A 24,225-nucleotide genomic window follows, 5' to 3' on the forward strand; every position below is an offset into this window, starting at 1 on the left:
CCAGCCTGATTTGGGGAGTGGCTGAGAATTGAATGACAGAGTTCCCTAATGTCTTACTGCCAATCACAGCTTGTTAATGCTTTTGCTCAAATGCAGTTTACAGAGAATGGATTTAATTTGCTTTCTATTTTCTTTAATTAGATGGTGTAATTTACAGACAGTGAAATGCACCCTTTTAAAATGGGAAGTTCAGTAAGTGTTCTCATACATGCACACCCAGGCAACCACAACTCAGATCACAACTCAGAGCATGCACAGCCCCCAGAAGGTCCCTCACTGCCCCTTCCAGCCAGCACACCCCACTCCATCCCCAAGAGAGTCACAATTCTGACTCCTGCCACCACAGATTCATTTTGCTTGTTCCCCAAACTTTGTATAAATGGAAACATACAAATGGGATCGTTTCATGAAACACAAAAATAGATTCCCCCTCTGCACTGGCTCCCCCAGAAGATTGAACAGGTGCTGGAGGTTTCTAAAGCTCATTCTGAGACCAGCCTTTTTTTGAGCTGTCTCCCAAGAGGATGCGGGATTCTAATTTTAAGCTCCACAGCCAAGGTGACAGAAGAGATTTAGAACCCAGAGTAGAGATAACTCATATACCTTAAGGTTTTGGACCTGGTTCATTTATATATGTATAATTAGCGAGTTAAAATGCACACATAGTAAAGAAAAAAATTCAAGCAGTAAAAGAATATGGCGGAAGTAAATTTCTCTCCTGTCTGGTTATCCTAGGCCCATGATGTCCCTACTCAAAGGCGGCAACCCTTAGTGGACCTTGTTCATACAGCCTCCCAGCAAAGCCTAGGCATTTCTGAGCATGTGCGTGTCGCTAGAGGATATATTTCACCTCTCCCTCCCCCTCCATACCTTTTTTTTTTTTTTTTAACACAACTGCTGGCTTATACAGATCAAGGTTGCTGTTTAGCATGCCACCTTTTCCATTTAGTATAGCCTGCCGGACAGTTCTTAGCTTTTGAAATGAACTCCTACAGTGATCATTGGGAGTAACAACAGGGAAAACTTAGGGCACTGTTCTAAACACGTAACATCTGCTCATTTAATTCACATTTTACCGTCTTTGTCACCTTGAGGGGCATGAGCTCCTTAAGTTAAATTGTTTGAAGAAAGGCAACACTGGCCTGTTGATCAATATTTCCCAGGGAGATGGTTCCACTCTGCACTAGCATGTCCGTGGTATTTTGGCCCTAAAGACCCACATCCCTGCAGGTGCTGTGGTCTCTTTGAGCTCCCTCATGTCTGCCACCTACTCCTGGTCCCTTGAGGCCCTGCTGTTGAACCTCCTCTGAGACAGTTCTGGGTGTAAAACAAAAGGAAGAGTCTCCAAAAGAGGACATTTCTTAGACATGCAGCGAAAGCCCTCATTTTCATTATTGCCATTTACATAGATGACTCAGATGTGCTGAATTTCCTGTTGCTAATGTAGCTGTACATTTGTGCTAATTTCTCAGAAATGCTAGATACCATTATTTTAGCAAAACTCACTTTGAAAAAGCAAAGAGCAGGGTTTAAAATAATAATAATAAGGGTCCCCAGTGTTCTGTGGGAAGATCTAGTTTCTCTACTTTAAAATGTTTCCCTCCTAACTTTTTATTATGAAAACTTCAAAACTTCAAGAAAGTTAAAATTATAATGAAGACTCAGGGACCCTCCACCAAGATTCAGTAGCTCTTCACCTTGGTGTCTGCATGGCTCCATCCATCTCTGTCTCTTCCTGCCTGCCTTCTGGCTGAGACCCTGAAGGCAATTTGCAGACATCCCGACACTGCAGTCCTAAGTGTGTCCACAAGGCACCTCCTAAGAAAATGGACATTCTCTCACATAGACTGTCATGATCACATCTAAGAAAGTCAATCATAGTTCAATAAGACCATCTGACATCTAGTCCACATTTAAATGGCCCTGGTGCTTATAAGACATTTTCCATGGCTGCATCTTTTGAATCGGTATCCCTCTGGGGGTCACATATTACATCCGGTCATTGTATCTGTGTAGTCCTTTTTTGGCTAGAGCAGTCCCTTCCCTTTTGCTCTTTTTCTTCTCTTTTATCTTTTTTTCCTTTGTTTGGTGTGTTTGACGTTGACTTTGTGAAGAGACTTGGCCGTGGTCTTGTGAAATGTCCCATGGCTGATCTCTCGGGCTGTATCCTCCTGGTGTTGGTTCACGTGTTCCTCCAACCTCTGAGAGCTCCTGGAGGTGCATGATGTTGGCTTTCTCCCCCCACGGTGATGCTGTCAGATCCCTTGTTAAGATGGTGACACCAGCTGTTCCCCTGTGGAGGCACACTGTCCCTTTTGCAATTAGTGTCCCTTGTGGGCAATGCCTTGTGAGCATCCTGGTTCCCAACAGAAAGGACGACCCTTCTGTTGATCATTTTAGCATCTTTGGCCAAAACCAATATTCCACTTGCAAGGTGGTAACTTTCGATACCTTTTAGATTCCTTCTACATTTTTTAGCTGGTGTTTTTCTGTAAATAGAGCTTTCTTGTTATTTTCCCCTTTGAAAAAAAATACAGAAAATAACCATGAAAAATATAACCAACATCCATATTTTCACCACTGAGAATTTGTGTTAAAATTTTGGCATATTCACCTTCAAGTTTTTCTTATAAGAAGGAAAACATGACAGTGAAATCTCCGAAATCCCCCAACTCCCTATTCTACTTCCTACCCTACACTCACCATCATAAATGTGGCTCTATCTTCCAGGCCCCTTTTTATACTTTTATGAGTACAGTACAGAATGTTTTAGCTATGAAAAATACAGTATATAGCATTATTTTGCGTGTTATTTTTAAACATTTTATATAAATAGCATTCTAAATCTATCATTATGTCCCTTTCTTTTCTCACCCAACACCTTTGAGATCAGCTCATATGGATGCTCATATAATGAGCTCATTCCCGTTTAGCTGCTCTATGGGATTCCACACATTCTTTTCCGTTCCTCCTCTACTGAAGAACACGTGGACTGTTTTTGATTCCTCGCTGTTAGGAGCCACGCTACAGTGGGCAGACCTGTGCGTGCCTTTGTGCAGATGTATGAGCATCTCTCTGAGTTGTGGCCAGCTTCACTAGATATTGCCCAAATGACCACACTAATTAATATTCTCTCCCACCAGCAGCCACATGTGGCTGGCTCCTCCCTCATATCTTCATCCACATGGGATAGTATCAGACTATTACATTTTTGCCAAACTAATAGGTGAGAAATGGTATTTGTTGCTTTAATTTGTATTTCCCGATTTCTAGCAAGGCAGTGCACAGATGTTTCTCGGCCACTGTGAAGGGGTGTTTCCATGAGACACATGGGGTATGCTCTGCTCTGTGGATCTGAGCTGCTAGTGAATCCTCGGTCTCTCCTCTAGAGAGAGTGCCTCCTAGGCACTAACAATCAGGTGGCTATCACAAAGGGAATGAAATTATTCTCAATTGTCATTGTCCTTATATTTGTATGAATAATATTGCTTGTCGCCTAGTACTTATCACCCGGCTTTCTATGAGCCAGGCTTTATTACTTTAACCACTTTACTTGATCCTCTCAGAAATTTATTTATATTTACTTATGTGTTTATTTTGAGATAGGGTCTCACTCTGCCACCCAGGCTGGAGAGCACTGGCACAATCACAGCTCACTGCAGCCTCAACCTCCTGGGCTCAAACAATCCTCCCACCTCAGCCTTCTGAGTAGCTGGGATGACAGGTGCGAACCACCATGCCTGCCTAACTTTTAAATTATTTTTTAGTAAAGACACAGTCTCAATTGTTGCTGAGGCTAATTTCGAACTCCTGTGCTCAAGTGATCCTCCCAGCTCGGCCTCCCAAAGTGCTGGGATTACATTCGTGAGCCACCATGCCAGGCCTAGGAATAGATTTATTATTTCCATTTTGCTGAAAAGGAGACAGAGGGTCAGAGTGGAACAGTGACTTGCCTAAGGTCATAGAGCTGGTAAGCGATCTGCTTCCAGAGCCCAAACCCTTCCCTCTGTATAGTATTGCTCCTTCACACTCCTCCCAGATGCCCAGATAGTTCCCAGCAAGAATAAAAGATGGTTTCACACTGAAAGAAGAAGATTGGTTCTGGTTTTCTTGTCTCCTTCCCTGGTTCCCATGGCTATGAGCAGAGAAGTTGTTCGTTAACCAAAAATTACAGCCTTGCAAATAGCTCCTAGCCCATTTGCCCAGGTTTCTGGGTAGAAGACAAGCAGAGCAGGCAGTTATAGTACAGCCGGCCCTTCATAGCTGCAGTTTCTGCCTCCACAGATTCAACTAACCACTAACCACAAGTAGAAAATAGAAATAATGGCCAGGCACAGTGGCTCATGCCTGTAAACTCAGCACTTTGGGAGGCTGAGGCGGGTGGACTGCTTGAGGTCAGGAGTTCAAGACCAGCCTGGTCAACATGGTGAAACCCTTTCTCTACTAAAAATACAAAAATTAGCCAGATGTGGTGGCAGACGCCTATAATCTCAGCTACTTGGGAGGCTGAGTCACGAGAACTGCTTGAACCCAGGAGGCAGAGGTTGCAGTGAGCAGAGATTACGTCATTGCACCCCAGCCTGGGTGACAGAGCAAGACTCCATCTCAAAAAAAAAAAAAAATAGATAAAAAATAGAAAATAATGCAAATGAAAACAATATAGTATAACCATTTATATAGCATTTACATTGTATTAGGTGTTATAAGTAATCTAGAGATTATTTAAACTCTATGGGAGGATGTGCATAGCTTATATGCAAATACTACACATTTTATATCAGAGACTTGAGCATCTGCATATTTCGGTATTCTTAAGGACCTGGACCAGATCGCCTGTGGATACTGAGGGACAACTGTGCTTCTTTCTCACTCCAGGTCAGAAAGGAAGGGTGGGTTGGTAAACTCTTAATCTGTTCAAGTTTTTGGATTGGTTGTAGCCAGGGTGGGTGATCTGGGTGGGCAATGGAGCCACAGAACTGAACGTTCAAGAAACTTTTAGATCCTAAGTTGGGAAAAAGGAATCTCTCTCTCTCACTCGTTTTAGTTAAAGTCCTCTGTTGTACATGTGGTATTGGGCAGAGATACGTACAGGCTTCTGCAGCGTCATCAGAACTCCAGAGGAGAGGTGGCTTCCAGGCGGGTGAGCCTTCAGGACTTCAGGTCCAGTCTGCCCATTTATAAATAGGAAAGCAGAGGCATTGAAACCTCTAGGTCCTAGGCTGCTTGAAGGCATCAAAGTGCCTGACTGGTCCTCGGAGCCTGGCAAAGTATTCAGCTTACAACATACATTTCATGAATATTTGTTGAATGAATAAATAAACGGACAAGAAGGCCAGACGTGGTGGCTCACGCCTGTAATCCCAGCACTTTGGGAGGCCGAGGCGCGCGGATCACTTGAGGTCAGGAGTTCGAGACGAGCCTGGCCAGCATAGTGAAACCCCGTCTCTACTAAAGATACAAAAATTAGCTGAGCTTGGTGGCAGGCACCTGTAGTCCCAGCTACTCGGGAGGCTGAGGCGGGAGAATTGCTTGAACCTGGGAGGCGGAGGTTGCCGTGACATGAGATCATACCGTTGCACTCCAGCCTGGGCGACAAGAGCGAAATCTGTCTCAAAAAAATAAAAAATAAAAAGGTAAATGGACAAGAAAGTTGGAATCTTAAAACAAATGCACAAAACCCCCAAGCTTTTGATTCCTTTGGGTTCTGCTGGGTGGAGGGGACCTATTTGAGGAAGGAGAATCAATGAACCGGGTCCTTCGTGAGAAGATGTGGCCAGGTCCTGCCGTGAGGCCCTGGGTGACTCAGTGAGCACTCCCTGTCCACAGCTCAGCGACTCACAGATGTCCCCAGGGAGAAGTACAGAAGCTGAGAGTCTGGACGAGGCCCCAGGCTGCCTGGCCCCTGCCTTCCTGCTCTCCTCTCCCACCTCTCCCGCTTAACTCCGCTGCAGCCACAGCCGTCTTGGTCTTCAGACAAGCCAGGCCCATTCTCCGCTCGGCCGCCTTGCCCCTGCTGCTGCCCTGCCAGGAGTGCTCAGCCTGTGGCTCTCTGAAGGACTGAGTCCTGGTTCCAACAGCACCTCCTCAAAGAGGACTTCCTAGATACCCTGGCCAGAGTCCCCACCCTGGCCACTCCCTACCACTCCCATCTGGTTTATTTCCTGAGCACTTGCTCCTGCTTGGACTGACCTGGCACGTCCCTGTGCTCGCTGGTGGGCTATCTGCTTCCCTCATCCGAAAGTGACTATGCCTCCGGCATCTGAGGCTGCACCTGGCATGTGGCAGGCACTCAACAGACAGATGGTGCAAGAACGAGAGAAAAAGAGGCCGGGGCTGAGCGTCATGCTGACGCCTCTGGAAACCTTTATCTCTGAGCAGTGGGGAGCCCCAGCTGGAAAAGGCCGCACGGCTCATGGTGAAGGTGACGACGATGATGCATGTGTGTGCACGGCAGGTGTTAGGCTGACAATAAGTGGCCACAGTTAGCTGAACATCTACTATGTGCCAGATATGAACTTGATTTTTAAATCACTCTATCCTCAGAATAAGGCAAATGCTGCCACGACCCCCTTCTCACAGACGAGAGAGTCAAAGCCCAGAGAGACTGAGCTTTTTGCATCCAGTCTGGGATGTGGGGAGCTGAGATGTGCTCCCACAAATACCTGACCCCAAAGCCCAGGCTCTTTCTAGTGGGCAATGAACAGCTGAGGCTGTTACCAACTTTCTTCAGGCCCTGAATGGCAGCCCAACTTCCCGCTGACCCTGTTGTTCTTCTTTCTGCCCAGGGACTCCCTACCCTCTCAGAGCAGAAGACAGGCCCAGAAACAGAATGTCCACTCACTCAGTCCATAAACATTTATTAAGCACCTACAACGTGCAGGGGTGCGGGGATGCAGCAGGGCTTAAGTCAAAGCTCAAGCACTGGTGGAGCTCACAGGTGGAGCTGCTGAGGGCATAACAAAGAAGTAGGCAAAGGAGTGGGCAGCAGATACTGGTCTGAACTGGGACAGTCAGGGGACAGGACCAGGAGAGCTGGGGCTGGGGACCTGGGTCGGGGGAGTCAGGCAGCCTCTCTGCGGAGGAGAAGCCAGCTTGCAGCAACCCGGGTGAGGGGCTGCCCAGCAGTCAGTGCACTTAGGAGAGAGTGGACTTAGTACACTAGTGGAGAAGAAATGAAGGCCAGTGTGGTGGGGGTGGGGAACAAGGTGGAAACAGTTACTGAGCTAATGAAATATCATCTCGGGCTCCCCCACATGTAATCACAGCTATTTCAAAGTCTGGCACAGCGAAGCCCCTCCAGAAATGTCTGCAATGAATGGAATTGGATCAGGTCAGTGTCCCGCTTGACAAAAACAAAAAGCAATGTCTGGTGCAGCCTGTCTCACAGAAAAATTTCCTTCAGGGAGGAGGATGAAGGTGAACCTCCTGGTTTTAGCAAACCAAAACAATATATTCAGATGGAATAAGGCAGATTAGCAATTCTCAGGTTGCAGGTTGCAGAGGCAGAATTTAAACGTTTTGGGTAAAAAACAAAAACCCACTTAAGATCGTATTTTTTTTCCTTTTTTTTTCTTTTTGAGATGGAGTCTCCTTCTGTCACCCGTTCTGGAGTGCAGTGGCGTGGACTGCAACCTCTGCTCCTGGGTTCCAGCGATTCTCCTGCCTCAGCCTCCTGAGTAGCTGGGATTATAGGTACCTGACATAATGTCCAACCAATTTTTTTTTGTATTTTTAGTAGAGATGGGGTTTCACCCTGTTGGCCAGGCTGGTCTCAAACTCTTGACCTCAAGTGATCTATGGCCTTGGCATCCCAAAGTGCTGGGATTACTGAGCCCCTGCACCTGGCCCCACTTAAGACCTTCTATGTTGCAGGATTTGAGGTTAATCTCCCATTACTATTGAAGGCTTATCTATTTTTCCCTTTTTGCAGATAAATGAGGAGTTGTCTCTGGTACAGGAACTAAACCAGCTCTGGGATCCCTAATGGCTGGGCTGGCCTGGTTGCTTCAGCTCTGGATTCAAACTGGCCAAGGATACAGGAGCCCAGGGGTGAGAATGGTAAGATCCTGCTTCCAGCTGCCTGCCAGAACCATTGACTTAAATGTGTATAATAACAGGAGCTAACATTTAATCATCCTAATAAAGCTATGAGGTGAGTACAAGTATGGCCCCACCCAGAGATGAGGAAAATGTAGCTCAGAGAGAATAAATTACCTACTAAATGTAAGACATCCCAAACCGCTTCCTTCCCCAGTCTTTCCCATTTCACTAAATGACACCACCCCTTACTGTACTAAATTGCTCAAACAGAAATCTGGGGATGACCCTTGATTCTTTCCTTGCCTCACCCCCACATCTTACCCATCACCAATTTATCTGTTCTATCTTCCAAAACACAGGACATCCTCAATGTGGCTATTTCTCTTCCATTCCCCCTGCTATCACCATCACTGTACCCACCATCAGCTCTCTGCTGAGCCACTAACTGGCCTACTACTACCACCCATTCTCCTCCAGCAGTGGCGGGTGATCTTTTTAAAACATAAGTCAGATGCCATGTCAGCCCTCAGTGAAAACTCTCTAATGCCTTCTCATTGCCTTTATTTTTTTCTCCGTCTAGTTGTAAGATTTTCCCTTTGTCTTTCATTTCCTGTAATGTTACATTGTACCTAGGGGTGATTTTCTTTCTATGTATGCTGCTAAGTGTTCACAGTCCTTCTCAAACCCATGGCTCGATGTCTTTCGTTTACTTGCAAATATTCCACACATAATCACAGCTATTTCAAAGTCTGTGTCTAGTAACCCCGCTATCTGGATCCCCTTGGACCTGTTTTGGTTGTTTGTTTGTGTTTTTCCCCCTGAATTGTGGTCAGGTCTTGTATTATTGTAAGGATAGACATTAAATAGGAAAAATGGTAGAGATAATTTATGTCATCTTCCTGTTTACTTTTGCTTCTTCTCAGGGATTATACCTGGATCTCTGACCTTTGGGCTTCCTACTTCCCTGGTGCCATGTTTCTGCCCTCTGCCTCTCCTGATATGATTATTAATTTTATATGTCAACTCAGCTAGGCCACAGTACTGGTATTTGGTTAAATACCAGTTTAGATATCCCAGTGAAGGTATTTTTTAGACGAGTTTAACATTTAAATCAGTCAACTTTAAGAAGAGCAGATTGGGGTGGGTGCGGTGGCTCGTGCCTGTAATCCCAGCAATTTGGGAGGCCTAGATGGGTGAATCACCTGAGGTCGGGAGTTCGAGACCAGCCTGACCAACATGGAGAAACCCATCTCTACTAAAATCACAAAATAAGCCGGGCGTGGTGGCACATGCCTGTAATCCCAGCTACTCAGGAGGCTGAGGCAGGAGAATTGCTTGAACCTGGGAGGCGGAGGTTGTGGTGAGCCGAGATCACATCATTGCACTCCAGCCTGGGCAACAAGAGCGAAACTCCATCTCAAAAAAAAAAAAAAAGAAAAGAAAAGAAAAGCAGATTGCCCCGAAATGTGGGTGGATCTCATCCAGCCATTAAAAGGTTTTACAAGAAAAGGCCTATGGTTCCCCCGGGGAAGAGGGAATTTTGTCTCCAGAACACTTTCAGGCTTGAGCTGCGATATCAGCTCTTTCCTGGGTGGCCAGCCTGATGGTCTGTCCTGCAGATTTCAGATCCACAAGCCCCACAGTCACCTGAGCCAATTCCTCTCTCTCTCTCTCTATCACACACACATGCACACACACACACAACTGGTTCTGTTTCTCAGGAGAACCCTAATACACTTGGCCTGTGTTCAGTGACAGCACCCAAATCCCTATCTGCAGTCTGGGCCTCCTGGGCTTCAGAACTGAGGATCCATTGGCCTCCTCTGTGTCTCCTCTAGGATTCCTAGCGGGCATCTCAGTCTTAGCACAGCTTCACCAAAGTAAGCGTCTACTTCAGCTCCACGACCTGCTGTGTCTCAGCCATCCTGGTCTCAGAGGCTGGCATCCATTCTTCTGGTGGCCCAGGCCCTGCTGTGGTCTGAATGTGTCCCCCAAAATTCATGTGTTGGAAACCTAAACCCCAATGCAACAGTGTTAGGAGGTGTGGTCTTTGGGGAGGTGTCAGGTCAGGAGGGCTCCACCCTCAGGAATGGATTAATGCTGCTATAAAGAGGCTTGTGGGAATGGGCTCTCCATTCTCCTGCTCTTCCACCATGTGAGGGCTCAGTTCATCCCTTTTTGTCTTTCCACCTTCTGTCATGTGAGGATCCAGCAAGATGGTCCACACCAAATGTTGGCACCTTGATCTTGGACTTCCAGCCTTTAGAACAGTAAGAAATAGATTCCTATTCTATGTAAATTACCCAATCTCGGGAATTCTGTTACAGCAGCACAAAATGGACCAAGGCAAATATTGGTACCCAGAATGTGGCTGCTGTAACAAACGCCTAAAAACGTGAAAGCAGCTTTGGAACTGAGTAATGGGCAGAGGCTGGGACAGGATGGAAGTGCATGCCAGGAAGAGCCTGTATTGCCATGAACAGCCCATTGAGGGTGATCCTAGTGAGGGCTCAGAAGAGGACAGCTGTAGGGAAAGCTGGAATCTCCTTAGAGATTACTTGAGTGTTCATGAAGAGAATGCTGGTAGAAATATGGACAGTACAGGCCATTCTGATGAGGTCTCAGATGGAAATGAGGAACAGGGTATTAAAAACAGGAGGGAAAGTGATACTTGTTCCAGAGTGGAAAAGAACTGGGCTGAATTATGTCCATGTGCTAGGACTTCATGGAAGGCAGAACTTAAGAGTGATGAACTATGACTAGGCACAGTGGCTCATGCCTGTAATCCTAGCACTTTGGGAGGCCATGACAGGAGGATCATTTGAGGCTAGGAGTTCAAGGCCAACCTGGGCAACATAAGAAGACCCTGTCTCTACAAAATTTTTAAAAAATTAGCAGGCATGGTGGCATATGTCTGTAGACCCAGCTACTCAGGAGGCTGAGGCAGGAGGATCACTTGAACACAAGGGTTCAAGGCTATAGTGAGCTATGATCGTGCCACTGCACTCCAGCCTGGGTGACAGAGTGAGACCCTGTATCAAAAAAACAAAAAAAAAATTGAAAAATTAATGAACTAGATATGTGGCAGAAAAAACCTCTAAGCAGCAAAGTGTGCAGGATGCTGTACATCCTCTCTTAGCTGCTCATAGTAAAATGCGAGAGGACAAATGATTTAAAGACGGAATGTATAACCACAAGCGAAGCAGAACACAAAGATTTGGAAAATTCTCAGCCTGGCCGCATAAAGAATAAAAAGGTGTGTTAAGGAGAAAATACCAAGGGTATGGCCAAGAGCCCATGTGATAAGGAGATGAGTATGGCTAGAAAGAAGCCAGGTGCTGTTCATCAAGACAGTGGGAGAAAGACTCTGAAGGGATTTGAGAGATCTGGATGACTCATCTCATCATAAGCCCAGGGCCCTTGGAGCTTGAGGGCAGAATGATTTGGGGGGATGGGCCAGGGGCTGGCTGCCTTGGGTCTCTACTCCTTGTGTTTTGGCACGATGCTCCTTGGCCACCCCAGCTGTGGCTCAAATGGGCCCAGGTGTGGCTTGGGCTGCTGCTCCAAAGGGTGCAAGCTGTGAGCCTTGGCAGCATGCATGTGTTGCTAATTCTGCAGGCACACAGAGTGCAAGAGCTTTGGGGGTATGGCTGCCTCCCCTTGAATTCAAAGAATGCCACAGAGGGATAGCCCCCATTAGGGCAATGCCCACCAGAATTGTGAGGTTGGGTCTAAAACTAAGACAGGCCCTAAGTACCCGGAGTCATCCTTGACTTCTCTTTCTCTCCCTGTCTCCTTCCCTTCCACCAATCCATTAGCAAACACTGTTGGCTTTACGTTCAAAATATGACCAAAATCATCTGAGCACTTACCACCTTCAGGCCTGCTTCAAGCCACCCCCTACCAGCCCCTTCTCAGAGGCCCCCCCACCCCCAGGTGCCATGTACTCTGTTAGCACCTGAGCCACAGCTGAGCCCTCCACTGCCCAGGAACCTCTGCCACTCCCCAGCTGCTCTGACTAAACACTGGATCTTTATAATGGCCCTGGGCCTTGAACCTGGGCCTTCTCTCCCTGAGCCCTCTGCCACTCTCCCCTGCTCACACCAGGCCAATGCTGACAACTTCCCCTCTGTGCTGTTCCGCTGCCTGGAATGCTCTCTGCCCAGATGTGTGCTTGGGTGACTGCTTGCCTCCCAGGAAGCTTGCCCAAATCTTGCCTCCTCAGTTAGGACAGCCCCGGCCATTCATCTCAAAGGCAAGGGGCACAGAGTATGGGCTCAGTACACGTATGGGGGAGGAGGGAGGGAGGGAGGTGGAGAGGGAGGAGGAGGAAGGGAGGAATGCACAGGCCATTTCATTCCAGCGAGAACAGGTCACAAGGCACACCCAAAAGCAACCCGGGTGGTACAAAACTAAAGATGACCGAAGGCCACCATGAACAGGCGGGAGAGGGCAGCTCTGTTCATCACCCCTGGGGCAGATGTGGAGACTCCAGATGTGTCACATCTGGACAGCCCCTTCTCTGCCCCTTCCTACCCCCTGCCCCGCCCATCCACCAGGGGTTCAAGACAATACAGGAGACAGTTGTCCTCCTCCCAGGACCCTGAGAATGGCTGGGGCTGGGGAAGATGCTCAGTGGCCTTTGAAACTCAGCTTAATTTTGCGCCAAACGGGTGACCCTGCCACCCCCATGAAAAGGCAGAGCACTAGAATGAGAGTCCAGACTATGGACTCTAGTCCTCTTGATGTCCCAAGCTCAGCATGTGACCTCAGACTAGGCACTTAGCCTCTGTGGGCCTCAGTTTCCCCTTCTGTCCAAATCAGGGGGGTTGGAATGTGGTCACCCAACTAAAAGCCCACTCTATACACTGAGCGTCTACAAATACAAGGAACACAGAGTTGATTTGTTAGGAAACCCATCACGTCCATCCTGACCTAGATGGGTTTCACTCTGACGTTGTGCAGTCAAATGCTCTACCCCTGAGCTACACCCCCTACTCTGACGTTGTGACCGCTGCACCTGGGCTGATTGTACCCCAGACCAGGGGCAATGTCACCTGGCACCACCCTTTCCCACTACTCTTCCCTCTCGAGAGAGACTGGGGTTTCACACAGAGCAGTCGAGCCCCATAAATAGCAGCTGGCCACTCACAGGCCAACCCTCCCAGGCCCCAAAAAGGAAGTGAGAGACAGGCAGACACTTCTGTTCTTCCTGCAGAAAGTGCTGCTTCTGCAGTGACTCGTCAGATGCTCCCCAGAGCCCAGCACAGACCCGGCTCCACCCACTTCTGTGGGTTGGCCAGATGAGTGAGAAACACAGGCACAGCCAACGAGAGGGAGCTGAGGCCGGACCCAGGAGTCTTTTTCCTATGGTAGGGGATATCTCTGTGTGAGGAAGCCCCATGGGGAGTCCTTGGGTGAGTTGCCAGGAGGAGGTGACTCAGGATAAATTCCCTTAGGAGGTGCCTTCACTTCTAGATCCAAAGAGTCATCCCCTACCTCCTTAGGGTAAAACTAGATTTTGAGTATCACGGTGTTTGTGGATAACCTGGCCCCAGTGAGTCCCCTTGCAAGGGCCTTTGGAGATGCTTCTGCACATGGACACTAGGAGCCATGAGCAGAGACAGTCCCTGCAGCAGCATCTGAAACCATGAACCCCAGGAAGACAACGTGGCACTGTTTTTGTCAGCCCTGCCTACGCTTTGCTAAAGTCTGTCCATTCAGCTCTTTTTCATGTTGACCGCACCACTGTTTCCTGCCCAGGTCCTGCCTGATATAGTAACCGGGAAAGGGATGAATGTGATGCAATGTGCTCTTGTAATGGAGCATCACAGAACAGGTCAAAGACACAAGCCACACAGCAACGAGCGCGGACAGGCAGGGCAGAGCACAGCTGCACGTAAGTACATTTTAAACACGGACCCCAACATAGCACTAGACATTGTTCATAATGCCTCCCTACATATGTAAAACACAAAAGTGGATTGGAGACACACAGAGGGGAGACTGCAGGCACCTCAGCCTCTCATCCCTCTTCTCATCAGGCCATTTCTGCTCTGCACCAGCGGTTCTCAACCAAAGTGCTTCTGCCTTCACTGTCAGGAGACATGTGGCCATGCTGGGGACATCTGGGGTGTCTCAATGATGGGGGTGGGAGGGATTGCTACTGGCATCTGGGGGTAGAGGCCAGGGATGTTCCCAACCATCCTAGGATGCAAGGGACAGCCCCACCACAAAGCAGGTGTGGCCCCAGCTCGTTCACAGCTGTCTACTTCCTCCTGGCGTAGCTGTGCAACTTGTACAACCACAAGCAACACGTATTTGTTTTACAAGGAACTCACTGGAGACAGCACCCAGTCTGAGAACTTTGTACTATGGAAGGGTTTTGTTTTTGAAAACCGAAATTACAGAATAAATTACAGAGAGAGAGAGAGCAAGAGCGAGAGCGAGAGAGTAAGAGAGAGAGAGAAACTTCACCATATGGGTTCAAATGAGCAACCTGGGTATTCTTGGCTCCTGGTGGAAAGGGAGGTGCTAATCTCAGGTGGGCCCACCTGCTGTGGCATGGGGCTTGGTTTTGAGCTGCTCCTTCCACTCCTGGCACAGGAGGAGCAGATGTTTAGGGCGGCCACGTGACTAACTGGGCAGCCAAGACCAAGACTCCTGTGCACGCTGAAACTCACGTTCTCAGTGGAAAGGAAAGATCTGCTGACCGCTCACTCAGGATGAGGGGTGTGGTGAGTCAGCCGTGGGGCCTCTGTGTGGCCCAGACCAAACAGCTGGTTTTGGGCATGGCAGAAGTCAATGAGGCAAGGCCCTGATGGGTAGCGCTGACCTGAGTGCTACCTGGCTAAAGCCAAGGAGGAGCCATGCGGCAGAATCCGTTCATGCAGCTCGCATGCTACAAGTGGCTGCTAGTGTCTTGTGGAGATTTAAACTTAAAATCTTGCTTCTCAGCCCCATCAGGTACATTTCAGGTGCTCAGCAGTGCACTTGTGCTTTGTGGCTGCCTTCTGGACAGCATGGATGCAGACCGCCTCCAACCATCCCAGAAAGTTCCATCACAGGCACTGAGCCAAAACTGGCCATGGTGATGGAGCTGCCAGGAGGGCGAAGCCCAATCTCACTTTGGTCAACATGGTCAACATGTCAGGGAAGGGTATCCAGGGACAGGTGCCCAGGGGCGGGTGCCCAGCTGCAGAAAGGTCTTCAGGGAACCTCCCTGCTCAGAGGCACTCTCTCAATGTCATCTCCTGCCTCCCAGCCCAATCACACTACATCCTGTCTTGGCTGCTCTCCTCCACTCTGCCCCAAGCCTGAAGCCATCTGTCCTTCCTCTAAGCTCCAGGAGTCTCTGGGAAGTGTTTATGGGTTAACTCTGTTGGAATGCACAGGGATTGCTCAGAATAAAGCTCACCAGCCTTTGTTGGCCTGGAGGCCCTGCCTGCCCTGCCTCTACTGCCTCTCTGTCCTCCCCCCTGGCTCTCTCCACCCCAGCCTAGGTTCCCCAAACACATCAGGCAGGGCCTGCTTGCGGCCTTTGCAGCTGCTGTTCCCTCTGCTCAGAATGCTCTTCCCCAACGCCCCCGGTCATCCCCCTGCCCCCCACTGCTTCAGTCAGATATCTCAAATATCACCTCATCAGAAAGCCTCCCATTCTAGCCGAAAGAGCTCAGGTATATGCACACTCACACACACACACACACACCCCCACACACATTCACACATGCACCACACTCACACACTCTGATTCTCACACACACTCACACACACCCTACATGCACACCCCACACGCCCCACAGGCACACTCTCCACACACTCACACACCCCACAGGCACACCCCCCAAACACACACACCCCACACACCCCACAGGCACCCCCCACACACTCACATACTCCACAGGCACACCCCCCAAACACACACCCCACACACCCCACAGGCACCCCACACACACTCACATACTCCACAGGCACACCCCCCAAACACACACCCCACACACCCCACAGGCAGCCCCCCACACAAACACACCCCATAGGCACAGCCCCCAAACACTCACACACCCCACACCCCCCACAGGCACCACACACACACTCACACACCCCACAGGCACACCCCACACATACTCATACACCCCACAGGCACACCCCCCAAACACACACTCCACACACCCCACAGGCACCCCCCACACACTCACACACCCCACGGGCACCCCACACACACTCACATACTCCACAGGCACACTCCCCCCCCCACACACACACACCCCACAGGCACCCCACACAGACATTCACACACCCCACAGGCACACCCCATACACACACACCCCCTGCGCACACGCCCACACCCGGACACAGCCCACAGGCTCCATGCGCCCCGCATGCCCATGCTGCCGGCAACCCGCTGTGATTTTCCTAAGCAGACGCCCCCTGGCGGCTGTCCCTCCACCGATGCTGGAGAAAGCTGGCACCCAGCAGCCGCTCCCAGGCTCAGGGGCCTGAACACCTCCTCTTCTCTTACCTGGCTGGGATTCATGCCAGCCAAGGGCCTCAGAGGGGATATGATGGGTTTCTGAGAGTCAGAGCCCTCGAATGGGGCTCCCAGCCCTATGCTTTGGTTTCCCCGGCTGTAGGAAACCCGTGTGGCAGGAGGACAGGTCACTGGACTCAGGATCAGACGAGCTGGGCTCCAGTCCCAACACTGTCCTGACTGGCTGTGTGACCTGGAGCAAGTTCACTTAACATCTCTGAACCTCACTCTCCTCCTCACTGAAATGAGGGAGTCAGTGTGTTGAGCAGGGTTTGGTGAAAATGTTTCTCTCCTGGATCCTGAGTGGTGGTGTCACTGACTACACACACTCTCTGGAAGGGGATTTGGTAACATGAATCTAGAGCAGGGGTCTCAAACTCAGGTGGCCCTGGGAGCCAGGTAGGTGATGTAATAGAGAGAGAGCCCATTAGCACAAGGGCAAGGGCAGCTCTGATTTTTTTTTTTTTTTATATATATATATACAGGGTCCTGCTCTGTTGCCCAGACTGGATTGCAGTAGTGCAATCTCAGCTCACTGCGACCTTGATGTCCTGGGCACAAGTGATCTTCCAGCCTCAGCCTCTTGAGTAGCGACAGATGTGCACCTCAATACCCGGCTACATTTTTAACTTTTGTAGAGATAAGGTCTTGCTTGTTGCACAGGCTGGCCTCAAACCCCTGGCCTCAAGCAGTCCTCCTACCTCAGCCTCCCACAGTGCTGAGATTACAGGCCTGAGCCACTGCACCTGGCCCGATTTTAAAGAAAAAAATTGGTCAGGTGCAGTGTCTCATGCTTGTAATCCCTACACTTTGGGAGGCCGAGCTGGGTGGATCACCTGAGATCAGCAGTTCGAGACCAGCCTGACTAATATGGTGAAACTCTATTTACTAAAAATACAAAAATTAGCTGGGCATGGTGGTGTGGGCCTGTAGTCCCAGCCACTTGGGAGGCTGAGACAGGAGAATTGCTTGAACCTGGGAGGCGGAGGTTGCAGTGAGCCGAGATCTCACCACTGCACTCCAGCCTGGGCAAGAGAGAGCAAGACTCCATCTAAAAAAAAAAAAGAAAGAAAAAAAATTTTGAGGTAAAACTTACATAACATAAAATTCATCATTTTAACTATTTTAAAGTGTACATTTCAGTGGTGCTTAATACACTCACAATGTTGTGCTACCATCAGCAGTATCCCATTCTAGAACATGTTCATCACATTTAAAGGACACCCGTACACATTAAGCAGTCATCCCCCATTTCCTCCTCCCCTCGTTCCCTGAAAGCCATTCATCTCCTTTCTGTCTTTCTGGATTTACCTATTCTGGCCATTCCATATAAATGGAATCATACCATATGGAATCTTTTATGTCTAGCTTCTTTCACTTAGCATAATATTTTTATAGATTTATCCACATCATAGCACGTATCAGTATTTCCTCACTTTTTATGTCTGAATAATATTCCATTATGGATAGAACACATTTTGTGTATCCATTCATCAGCTGTGCACATTTAGGGTGTTTCCACCTTTTGGCCATTACAGCAATTACAATGTACTGCTAAGAACATTTGTGTACAAGTGTTTGTTACCAATTCCTTTGGGATACACAGCTAGGAGTGGAAATGCAGGGTAATTCTATGTTAAACTATTTGGGGAACCACCACATTGTTTTCCACAGCAACTGCACCATCTTACATACCCACCAGGAGTGTACAAAGCTTCCAATTTTTCCACATTTTCACCAATACCTGTTATTCCCCCGGCCCCAAAATTATAGCCATCCTGGTGGGTGTGAAAAGGTACCTCACTGTGGTTTTGATTTTATGTCCCTAATAATTAATGATGTTGTACAACTTTTCCTGTGCTTATTGGCCACTTGAATATTTTCTTTGGAGAAATGTCTATTTAAGTACTTTGCCAATTTTTAAGTTGGATTATTTGGGTATTTTGTTGTTGAGTGGTGAGAGTTCTTCCTCTATCCTGGATACTAGATGTTTATCAGCTATATGCTTTGCAAATATTTTCTCCTGTTCTGTGGGTTGCCTTTTCACTCTCTTGATAGTGTTCTTTGCTGTATATACGTTTTTAATTTTAGTGAAGTCCATGTTATTTTTTCTTTTGTTGCCTGCACTTTTGTTGTCATAGCTAGAAAACCACTGCCAAATTCAAGGTCATGAAGATTTACCATTATGTTTCCTTCTAAGAGTTTTATAGTTTCAGCTCTTATATTTACAATTTTAATCAATCTTAAGTTAATTTTTGTATATGGTGTGAGGTAAGGATCCAATTTCATTCTTTTTTATGGATATCCAATAGTTCCAGCACCATCTTTGAAGAGACTGGCCTTTCCCCACTGAGCAATCTTGGCATTCTTGTCCAAAATCAACAGGCCATATATCTGAGGGCTTAATTCTGGACTCTTAATCTATTTCGTTTTCTATATGTCTGCTTTGTCTCAATCCATTCCATTGTCTATATGTCTATATTCCATTCTGTAAGTCTGTCCTTATGCCAGTATCACAACCTTTTGATTGCTGTAGCTTTGTAGTAAGTTTTGGAAATCAGGAAGTGTGAGTCCGTCAATTTATCCTTTTTTTCTTTTCAAGATTGTCTTGGCTGTTTGCGGTCCCTTGCAATTCCATAGCAATTTGGGAATCAACTTTTCCATTTCTACAGTAAAGCCCATTGGAATTTTGATAGAGATCGCATCAAGACTGTATTTTGCTTTGGGTGGTATTGCATCTTAACAATATTAAGTCTTCCAGTCCATAAACATGAGCTGAGTTTCCATGTATTTAGGTCTTCTTTAATTTCTTTCAGCAATGCATTGTAAGTTTCAGTGTACCAGTCTTTCATCTCCTTAGTTAAATTTATTCCTATGAATTTTATTCTTAAGGATGCTATTGTAAGTGGAATTGTTTTCTTAAGTTTCTTTTTGGATTGCTCGTTGCCAGCATATAGAAATACAACTAATTTTTGTGTGTTGGCCTTGCACTCCACAACATTGCTCAATTCCTCTGTTAGGGCTAATAGTTTTTCAGCAGATTTTTTCCTATATAAGATCATGTCATCTGTGAATACTTTTATTTCTTCTCTTCCGATATGATGCCTTTTATTTCTTTTTCTTGCCTAATTTATCTGGCTAGAATCCCAGTACTATGCTGAACAGAAGTGGTGAAAATTGGGCATCCCGTCCTGTTCCTCTGTTGGGGTAAATGCTTTCAGCCTTCCATCATTGAGGGTTTTTCACAAATGTGCTTTTTCATGTTGAAGAAGTTTCCTCTGTTTCAAGTTTGTTGAAGGTTTTTAATCATGAAAAGATGCTGCCTTTTGTTAAATGCTTTTTCTGCATCAATTAGGATGATCATCTGGCTTTCTCCCTTCATTCCTGTAATGCAGTGGATTACATTGATTGATTGGGCAGCTTTGATTTTCCAAGATAAGCTGTAAATCTGCATTCTGATGGGAAATCTTACTTTTAAAAATGTGTGCACAGGCCCGGTGGCTCATGCCTGTAATCTAAGTGCTTTGAGAGGCTGAGGCAGGAGGATTGCTTCAGGCCAGGAGTTTGAGATCAGTGTGGGCAATACTGCAAGACCCTGTCTCTGCAAAAATTAAAAAAAAAATTAGCCAGGCATGGTGGCATATGCCTGTAGTCCCAGCTACTATGAAGGCCGAGGCAGAAGGATTGCTTAAGCCCAAGAGTTTGAGGCTGCAGTGAGCTATGATCACGTCACTGCACTCCAGCCTGGGCAACAGAGTGAGACCTCATATCTAAAAAACAAAACAAAACAAAAAAACTGTATGTACATAAAAAAAAAATGCATAGGCCAAATGAAACTCAGCTAACAGACAAACTGGCTCTGGCCCACCAGTTTGAAATCGCTAATCAAGGGACTTAATAGTCCTCCCTCCCTTTGACTCAGGAATTCCACTTCCAGGGATTCATCCAGAAGAAATAATCCAAAATGTGGGCAAAATTTGACACCTGCACTTGAGTATTACCTTTAATTGCCAAAGCTAGAAAGTCCCTGAACACCCAAAAATAGGGGACACAAAAATGTCACAGTCAGCCTACTAGAGTGAATGTTTTGCAGCCACTTAGAATGGCTTTCATGAAGACTATGAAATGTCATCAATAGATACAGGTGATATCATTTTAATGAAGGTTGTTCAATATCACCACAATTGTCATCTACTATGAACATAAACTTTTTTTGTGACAAAAAGAAGAGGGGTTCCCCAAGGCCTCCTCTCTGGCTGGGGTAGTGTGGCTCAACAATAGGTCATCTCCCCACTGCCCGCCTTTCCTCTTTTTCCAAATGTGGAATGATGTCCTGATATAACGTTTCTTGGCACTTCCCACATTTGATTCGCATTTTAAGCACTTGACTCTCAGGAGCACATCTCCACACACCAGTTTCCCTTTGGCTGGCTGCGTGCTGGTCCACAGCCATTTGCCCTGCTGGTCCCACATAGGAAGTGCTTTGGGCAGAAATCCACCCCCTGTCCCACCCATCCCTGTTTTTCATAAGCACTTGAATCAAAACAATCTTTTTGTTATTGTTGTTGTTGTTGTTTTCAGACAGAGTTTCGCTCTTGTTGCCCAGACTGGAGTGCAGTGGCGCAATCTCAGCTCACTGCAACCTCCGCCTCCCAGATTCAAGCGATTGTCCCGCCTCAGCCTCCCGAGTAGCTGGGATTACAGGCATGCGCCACCACGCCCGGCTAATTTTTGTGTTTTTAGTAGAGACAGGGTTTCTCCATGTTGATCAGGCTGGCCTCGAACCCCCAACCTCAGGTGATCCGCCCGCCTCGGCCTCCCAAAGTGCTGGGATTACGGGTGTGAGCCACTGCGCCCGGCTGAATCAAAACAGTCTTGAACATCGTTTCTCACATTGCTGGCTGGCAGGGAGGCACCTGTCTCCAAGAATTCAACACCATGGACAACGGGATTCACTGGGCTGCCATTCTGACCGTTGCAACCGCAACCCTTTCTCTAAGCAGCTGGGATCACAGCCTCTTCCATTCTTCCTTCTTGTATATCATGTCATGGAGCAGATGCTACACACAGAAACCCAACAGTTCTTTCCAGGCTTCAACCTGTAAAACCCGACTCCACTCTGAGTATTCCAGGCCCACACATCAATGACAGTGCCTTGAAAACAGATTTAAAAAAGAAAGGGCCCCTAACCCCGCTCAGCCTCCCCGAGGAGTTGCCGCTCAGCTGCGTGCTGTGAGGTAGATGTAGAGAGAAAATGCTTCACAACCAGCAAGCCGGGTGCGGTGTGGTGCAGGCCCATCCAGCCGCCCACAGCGCCCTGCTGGGCTCAGAGGACAGGGGACGCTGCAAGGGGTGGGGCAGGGCTGCGTGGAGGGGGCCCTGTTTGAGCTGAGCCTCTGTGCTGAGTTCAGTAGTGACCTCCCCAAAAGTCATGTCCACCCAGCACCTGTGAAGGTGACGTGATTTGGAAATAGAGTCTTCTCAGCTGTGATCAAGGGAAGATGAGGTCTTGCTGGATTAGGGAGGGCCCTAACCAATGACTGGTATCTTTATAAGGCAGGGGACATTTGCACAGAGACACAGGAAGGAAGGCCACGTGAAGACGGAGGCAGAGGTTGCATCCAGAGCCCAGGAACACCTAGGGCTGCCAGCCACCAGCAGAAGCCAGGGAAGGGGCCAGGAGGGGCAGAACCTGCCGATCCCTCGATCCTGGACTGTGGCCTCTAGAACCCTGACGGGATAAACTTCTGTTGTGTTAAACCCCATTTGTGACACTGTGTGATGGCTGCCACAGGACCCTGGCAGCTTGAAGAAGGCCTTATCTAAAGGCCCCTCAGCACCTATGGGTGGTCGGCCACTCCTCCTGGGTGACAGCCCTCCTGGGTGACAGCCCTGGTGACAACCCTCTTGGGTGACAGCCCTGGGTGAAAGCCCTGCTGGGTGACAGCCCTCCTGCGTGACAGCCCTCCTGGGTGATGCCCCTCACTGCCCCTTAGTGGCTGACTGGCATGCAACAAGGCACCAGGCGCTGGCACCTCCCTATGGTCACCAGCATGTGGCACCCCTGACCTAGGTGCTGGGCACACTGCACCCCAGGTTCCTGGTCGGACTGGGAGGAGCTAGTTTGGGCGGGGTGGAGCCCTGGGCCGCCAACCCTGGACCAAAGGCAGATGGTGAGCATGGGTGGACCCGGCTTCTTTACCTTCCCGAGGCCTTGGGTGAGGGGCTGGCTGCCTGCCCTGTGCAGAGGACTTTGTCCTTGGAGCAGGTGGGTGCAATGAATTTCAGGGCTCTGACCCAGGGACAGAGGGGCACAGAGGGGTAAAGGGTCCCTCACTCTCGCCCAGCCCCTAGTCACAATCTGGGAAAATTTCCAGAGGCTGTGTGGGGTGGCGTTTTTCAAACCAGTCCAGTGGCTCAAAAGCAGTCCAGCCTCCCCTCTGACTCTCAGAGGCTGGTTCTGAGACCCCGCTCCCATGCAGGCTGACATGAGAGGGAGTGTCTATCCCAAGGGGGGCAGGAGCAGCCTTCCCGTCTGAGGATCCGCTGGGGTGGGTGGGCTTTGTCCTCCTCCTGACAGAGGGAAATGCTGGCTTCTTGAAGGACCATTCCTTAGGGTGGGGTGGGGTGGCATGGGGATGGGAATGGTGGAAAGAGCACAGATCAGGAGGGAGACCCAGAGTCCAGCCCCCTCTGCTGCTCACCTGCTGGGCTCCTCCCTCCTCTGGCCGAGCCTTGGTTTTCTCAGTTGTAAAATGGGCCTGACTCTGTCCCTGTCTTTCATGGATGGGGCATCAGCTGACCCGACAACATACAGGAAAAGCTCTGCAGAGAAACCTCTCTGAGTGCTTTTGGTTTTCAGTCTGGGGTTTTGTTTTATGTATGGTAAAATGCATATAACATAAAAGTTACCATTTTAGGCCAGACGCAGTGGCTCACGCCTATAATCCCAGCACTTTGGGAGGCCAAGGCGGGTGGATCACGAGGTCAGGAGATCGAGACCATCCTGGCTAACACGGTGAAACCCTGTCTCTGCTAAAAATACAAAAAAAAAATAGCTGGGTGTGGTGGCGGGCGCCTGTAGTCCCAGCTACTTGGGAGGCTGAGGCAGGAGAATGGCGTGAACCTGGGAGGCGGAGCTTGCAGTGAGCCGAGATCGCGCCACTGCACTCCAGCCTGAGCGACAGAGCGAGACTCAGTCTCAAAAAAAAAAAACAAAGTTACCATTTTAACTATTGTTAAGTATCTAGTTCAGTGTCATTAAGTACATTCACATTGTGACACAACCATCCCCATCGTCCATATCCAGAACCTTTCATCTTATAGAAATGAAACTGTCCCCATGAAACGCTGACTTCCCTTCCCCCTTCCCCAGCCCCTGGCAACCCCCATTCTACTTTCTGTCTCTAGAGATCTAACTACTCTAGTGCCTCACCTACATGGAATCATACACGATTTGTCTTTGTGTGACTGGCTTATTTAGCTTAGCATAATGTTCTCAAGCCCCATCCATGTGGTGGCCTGTGTCCAAACTTCCTTCCTTTTGAAAGCTGAATAACATTCCACTGTGCAGATGTCCCATAGTGTGCTTCTCCATTCATCCGTGGAGGGACATCCATGGAAGGGACACCACTTCCACATTTCAGCTATTGGGAATA

At 48.4% G+C, this 24,225-nt stretch overlaps 2 long non-coding RNA genes across 2 annotated transcripts, besides 14 other annotated features; one reads left to right on the forward strand and one right to left on the reverse strand.

The window, feature by feature from the left end:
* Positions 777-906: an enhancer, noted in NCBI's record as "active region_11777". NCBI's record gives its function as "activates an Ori minimal core promoter by ATAC-STARR-seq in GM12878 lymphoblastoid cells {active_cell/tissue: GM12878}" and the evidence as "EXISTENCE:reporter gene assay evidence [ECO:0000049][PMID:35858748]".
* Positions 888-6,242, reverse strand: LOC284191 (uncharacterized). Its single transcript, NR_148948.1, has 3 exons — positions 6,190-6,242; positions 5,090-5,605; positions 888-2,519 (listed from the first exon to the last, which is right to left on the reverse strand). It is a non-coding gene; the product is annotated as an uncharacterized LOC284191 (long non-coding RNA).
* Positions 5,826-6,075: an enhancer, noted in NCBI's record as "active region_11778". NCBI's record gives its function as "activates an Ori minimal core promoter by ATAC-STARR-seq in GM12878 lymphoblastoid cells {active_cell/tissue: GM12878}" and the evidence as "EXISTENCE:reporter gene assay evidence [ECO:0000049][PMID:35858748]".
* Positions 6,086-6,135: an enhancer, noted in NCBI's record as "active region_11779". NCBI's record gives its function as "activates an Ori minimal core promoter by ATAC-STARR-seq in GM12878 lymphoblastoid cells {active_cell/tissue: GM12878}" and the evidence as "EXISTENCE:reporter gene assay evidence [ECO:0000049][PMID:35858748]".
* Positions 6,156-6,365: an enhancer, noted in NCBI's record as "active region_11780". NCBI's record gives its function as "activates an Ori minimal core promoter by ATAC-STARR-seq in GM12878 lymphoblastoid cells {active_cell/tissue: GM12878}" and the evidence as "EXISTENCE:reporter gene assay evidence [ECO:0000049][PMID:35858748]".
* Positions 6,376-6,435: an enhancer, noted in NCBI's record as "active region_11781". NCBI's record gives its function as "activates an Ori minimal core promoter by ATAC-STARR-seq in GM12878 lymphoblastoid cells {active_cell/tissue: GM12878}" and the evidence as "EXISTENCE:reporter gene assay evidence [ECO:0000049][PMID:35858748]".
* Positions 6,506-6,555: an enhancer, noted in NCBI's record as "active region_11782". NCBI's record gives its function as "activates an Ori minimal core promoter by ATAC-STARR-seq in GM12878 lymphoblastoid cells {active_cell/tissue: GM12878}" and the evidence as "EXISTENCE:reporter gene assay evidence [ECO:0000049][PMID:35858748]".
* Positions 6,506-7,061: a biological region, named in NCBI's record as "H3K4me1 hESC enhancer GRCh37_chr17:16884947-16885486".
* Positions 6,522-7,061: an enhancer, noted in NCBI's record as "H3K4me1 hESC enhancer chr17:16884947-16885486 (GRCh37/hg19 assembly coordinates)". NCBI's record gives its function as "activates a minimal SCP1, AML or CMV promoter by ChIP-STARR-seq in primed H9 embryonic stem cells {active_cell/tissue: H9 hESC(primed)}" and the evidence as "EXISTENCE:reporter gene assay evidence [ECO:0000049][PMID:30033119]".
* Positions 6,656-6,705: an enhancer, noted in NCBI's record as "active region_11783". NCBI's record gives its function as "activates an Ori minimal core promoter by ATAC-STARR-seq in GM12878 lymphoblastoid cells {active_cell/tissue: GM12878}" and the evidence as "EXISTENCE:reporter gene assay evidence [ECO:0000049][PMID:35858748]".
* Positions 7,062-7,600: an enhancer, noted in NCBI's record as "H3K4me1 hESC enhancer chr17:16885487-16886025 (GRCh37/hg19 assembly coordinates)". NCBI's record gives its function as "activates a minimal SCP1, AML or CMV promoter by ChIP-STARR-seq in primed H9 embryonic stem cells {active_cell/tissue: H9 hESC(primed)}" and the evidence as "EXISTENCE:reporter gene assay evidence [ECO:0000049][PMID:30033119]".
* Positions 11,878-12,708: an enhancer, noted in NCBI's record as "H3K4me1 hESC enhancer chr17:16890303-16891133 (GRCh37/hg19 assembly coordinates)". NCBI's record gives its function as "activates a minimal SCP1, AML or CMV promoter by ChIP-STARR-seq in naive H9 embryonic stem cells {active_cell/tissue: H9 hESC(naive)}" and the evidence as "EXISTENCE:reporter gene assay evidence [ECO:0000049][PMID:30033119]".
* LINC02090 (long intergenic non-protein coding RNA 2090) lies at positions 13,218-15,065 on the forward strand. Its single transcript, NR_146886.1, has 3 exons — positions 13,218-13,412; positions 13,804-13,939; positions 14,998-15,065. It is a non-coding gene; the product is annotated as a long intergenic non-protein coding RNA 2090 (long non-coding RNA).
* Positions 13,341-13,560: an enhancer, noted in NCBI's record as "active region_11784". NCBI's record gives its function as "activates an Ori minimal core promoter by ATAC-STARR-seq in GM12878 lymphoblastoid cells {active_cell/tissue: GM12878}" and the evidence as "EXISTENCE:reporter gene assay evidence [ECO:0000049][PMID:35858748]".
* Positions 20,819-21,381: an enhancer, noted in NCBI's record as "H3K4me1 hESC enhancer chr17:16899244-16899806 (GRCh37/hg19 assembly coordinates)". NCBI's record gives its function as "activates a minimal SCP1, AML or CMV promoter by ChIP-STARR-seq in naive H9 embryonic stem cells {active_cell/tissue: H9 hESC(naive)}" and the evidence as "EXISTENCE:reporter gene assay evidence [ECO:0000049][PMID:30033119]".
* Positions 22,427-22,476: an enhancer, noted in NCBI's record as "active region_11785". NCBI's record gives its function as "activates an Ori minimal core promoter by ATAC-STARR-seq in GM12878 lymphoblastoid cells {active_cell/tissue: GM12878}" and the evidence as "EXISTENCE:reporter gene assay evidence [ECO:0000049][PMID:35858748]".

This window comes from Homo sapiens, chromosome 17 (assembly GCF_000001405.40).
Source record: "Homo sapiens chromosome 17, GRCh38.p14 Primary Assembly".
NCBI classification, from domain to species: domain Eukaryota; kingdom Metazoa; phylum Chordata; class Mammalia; order Primates; family Hominidae; genus Homo; species Homo sapiens.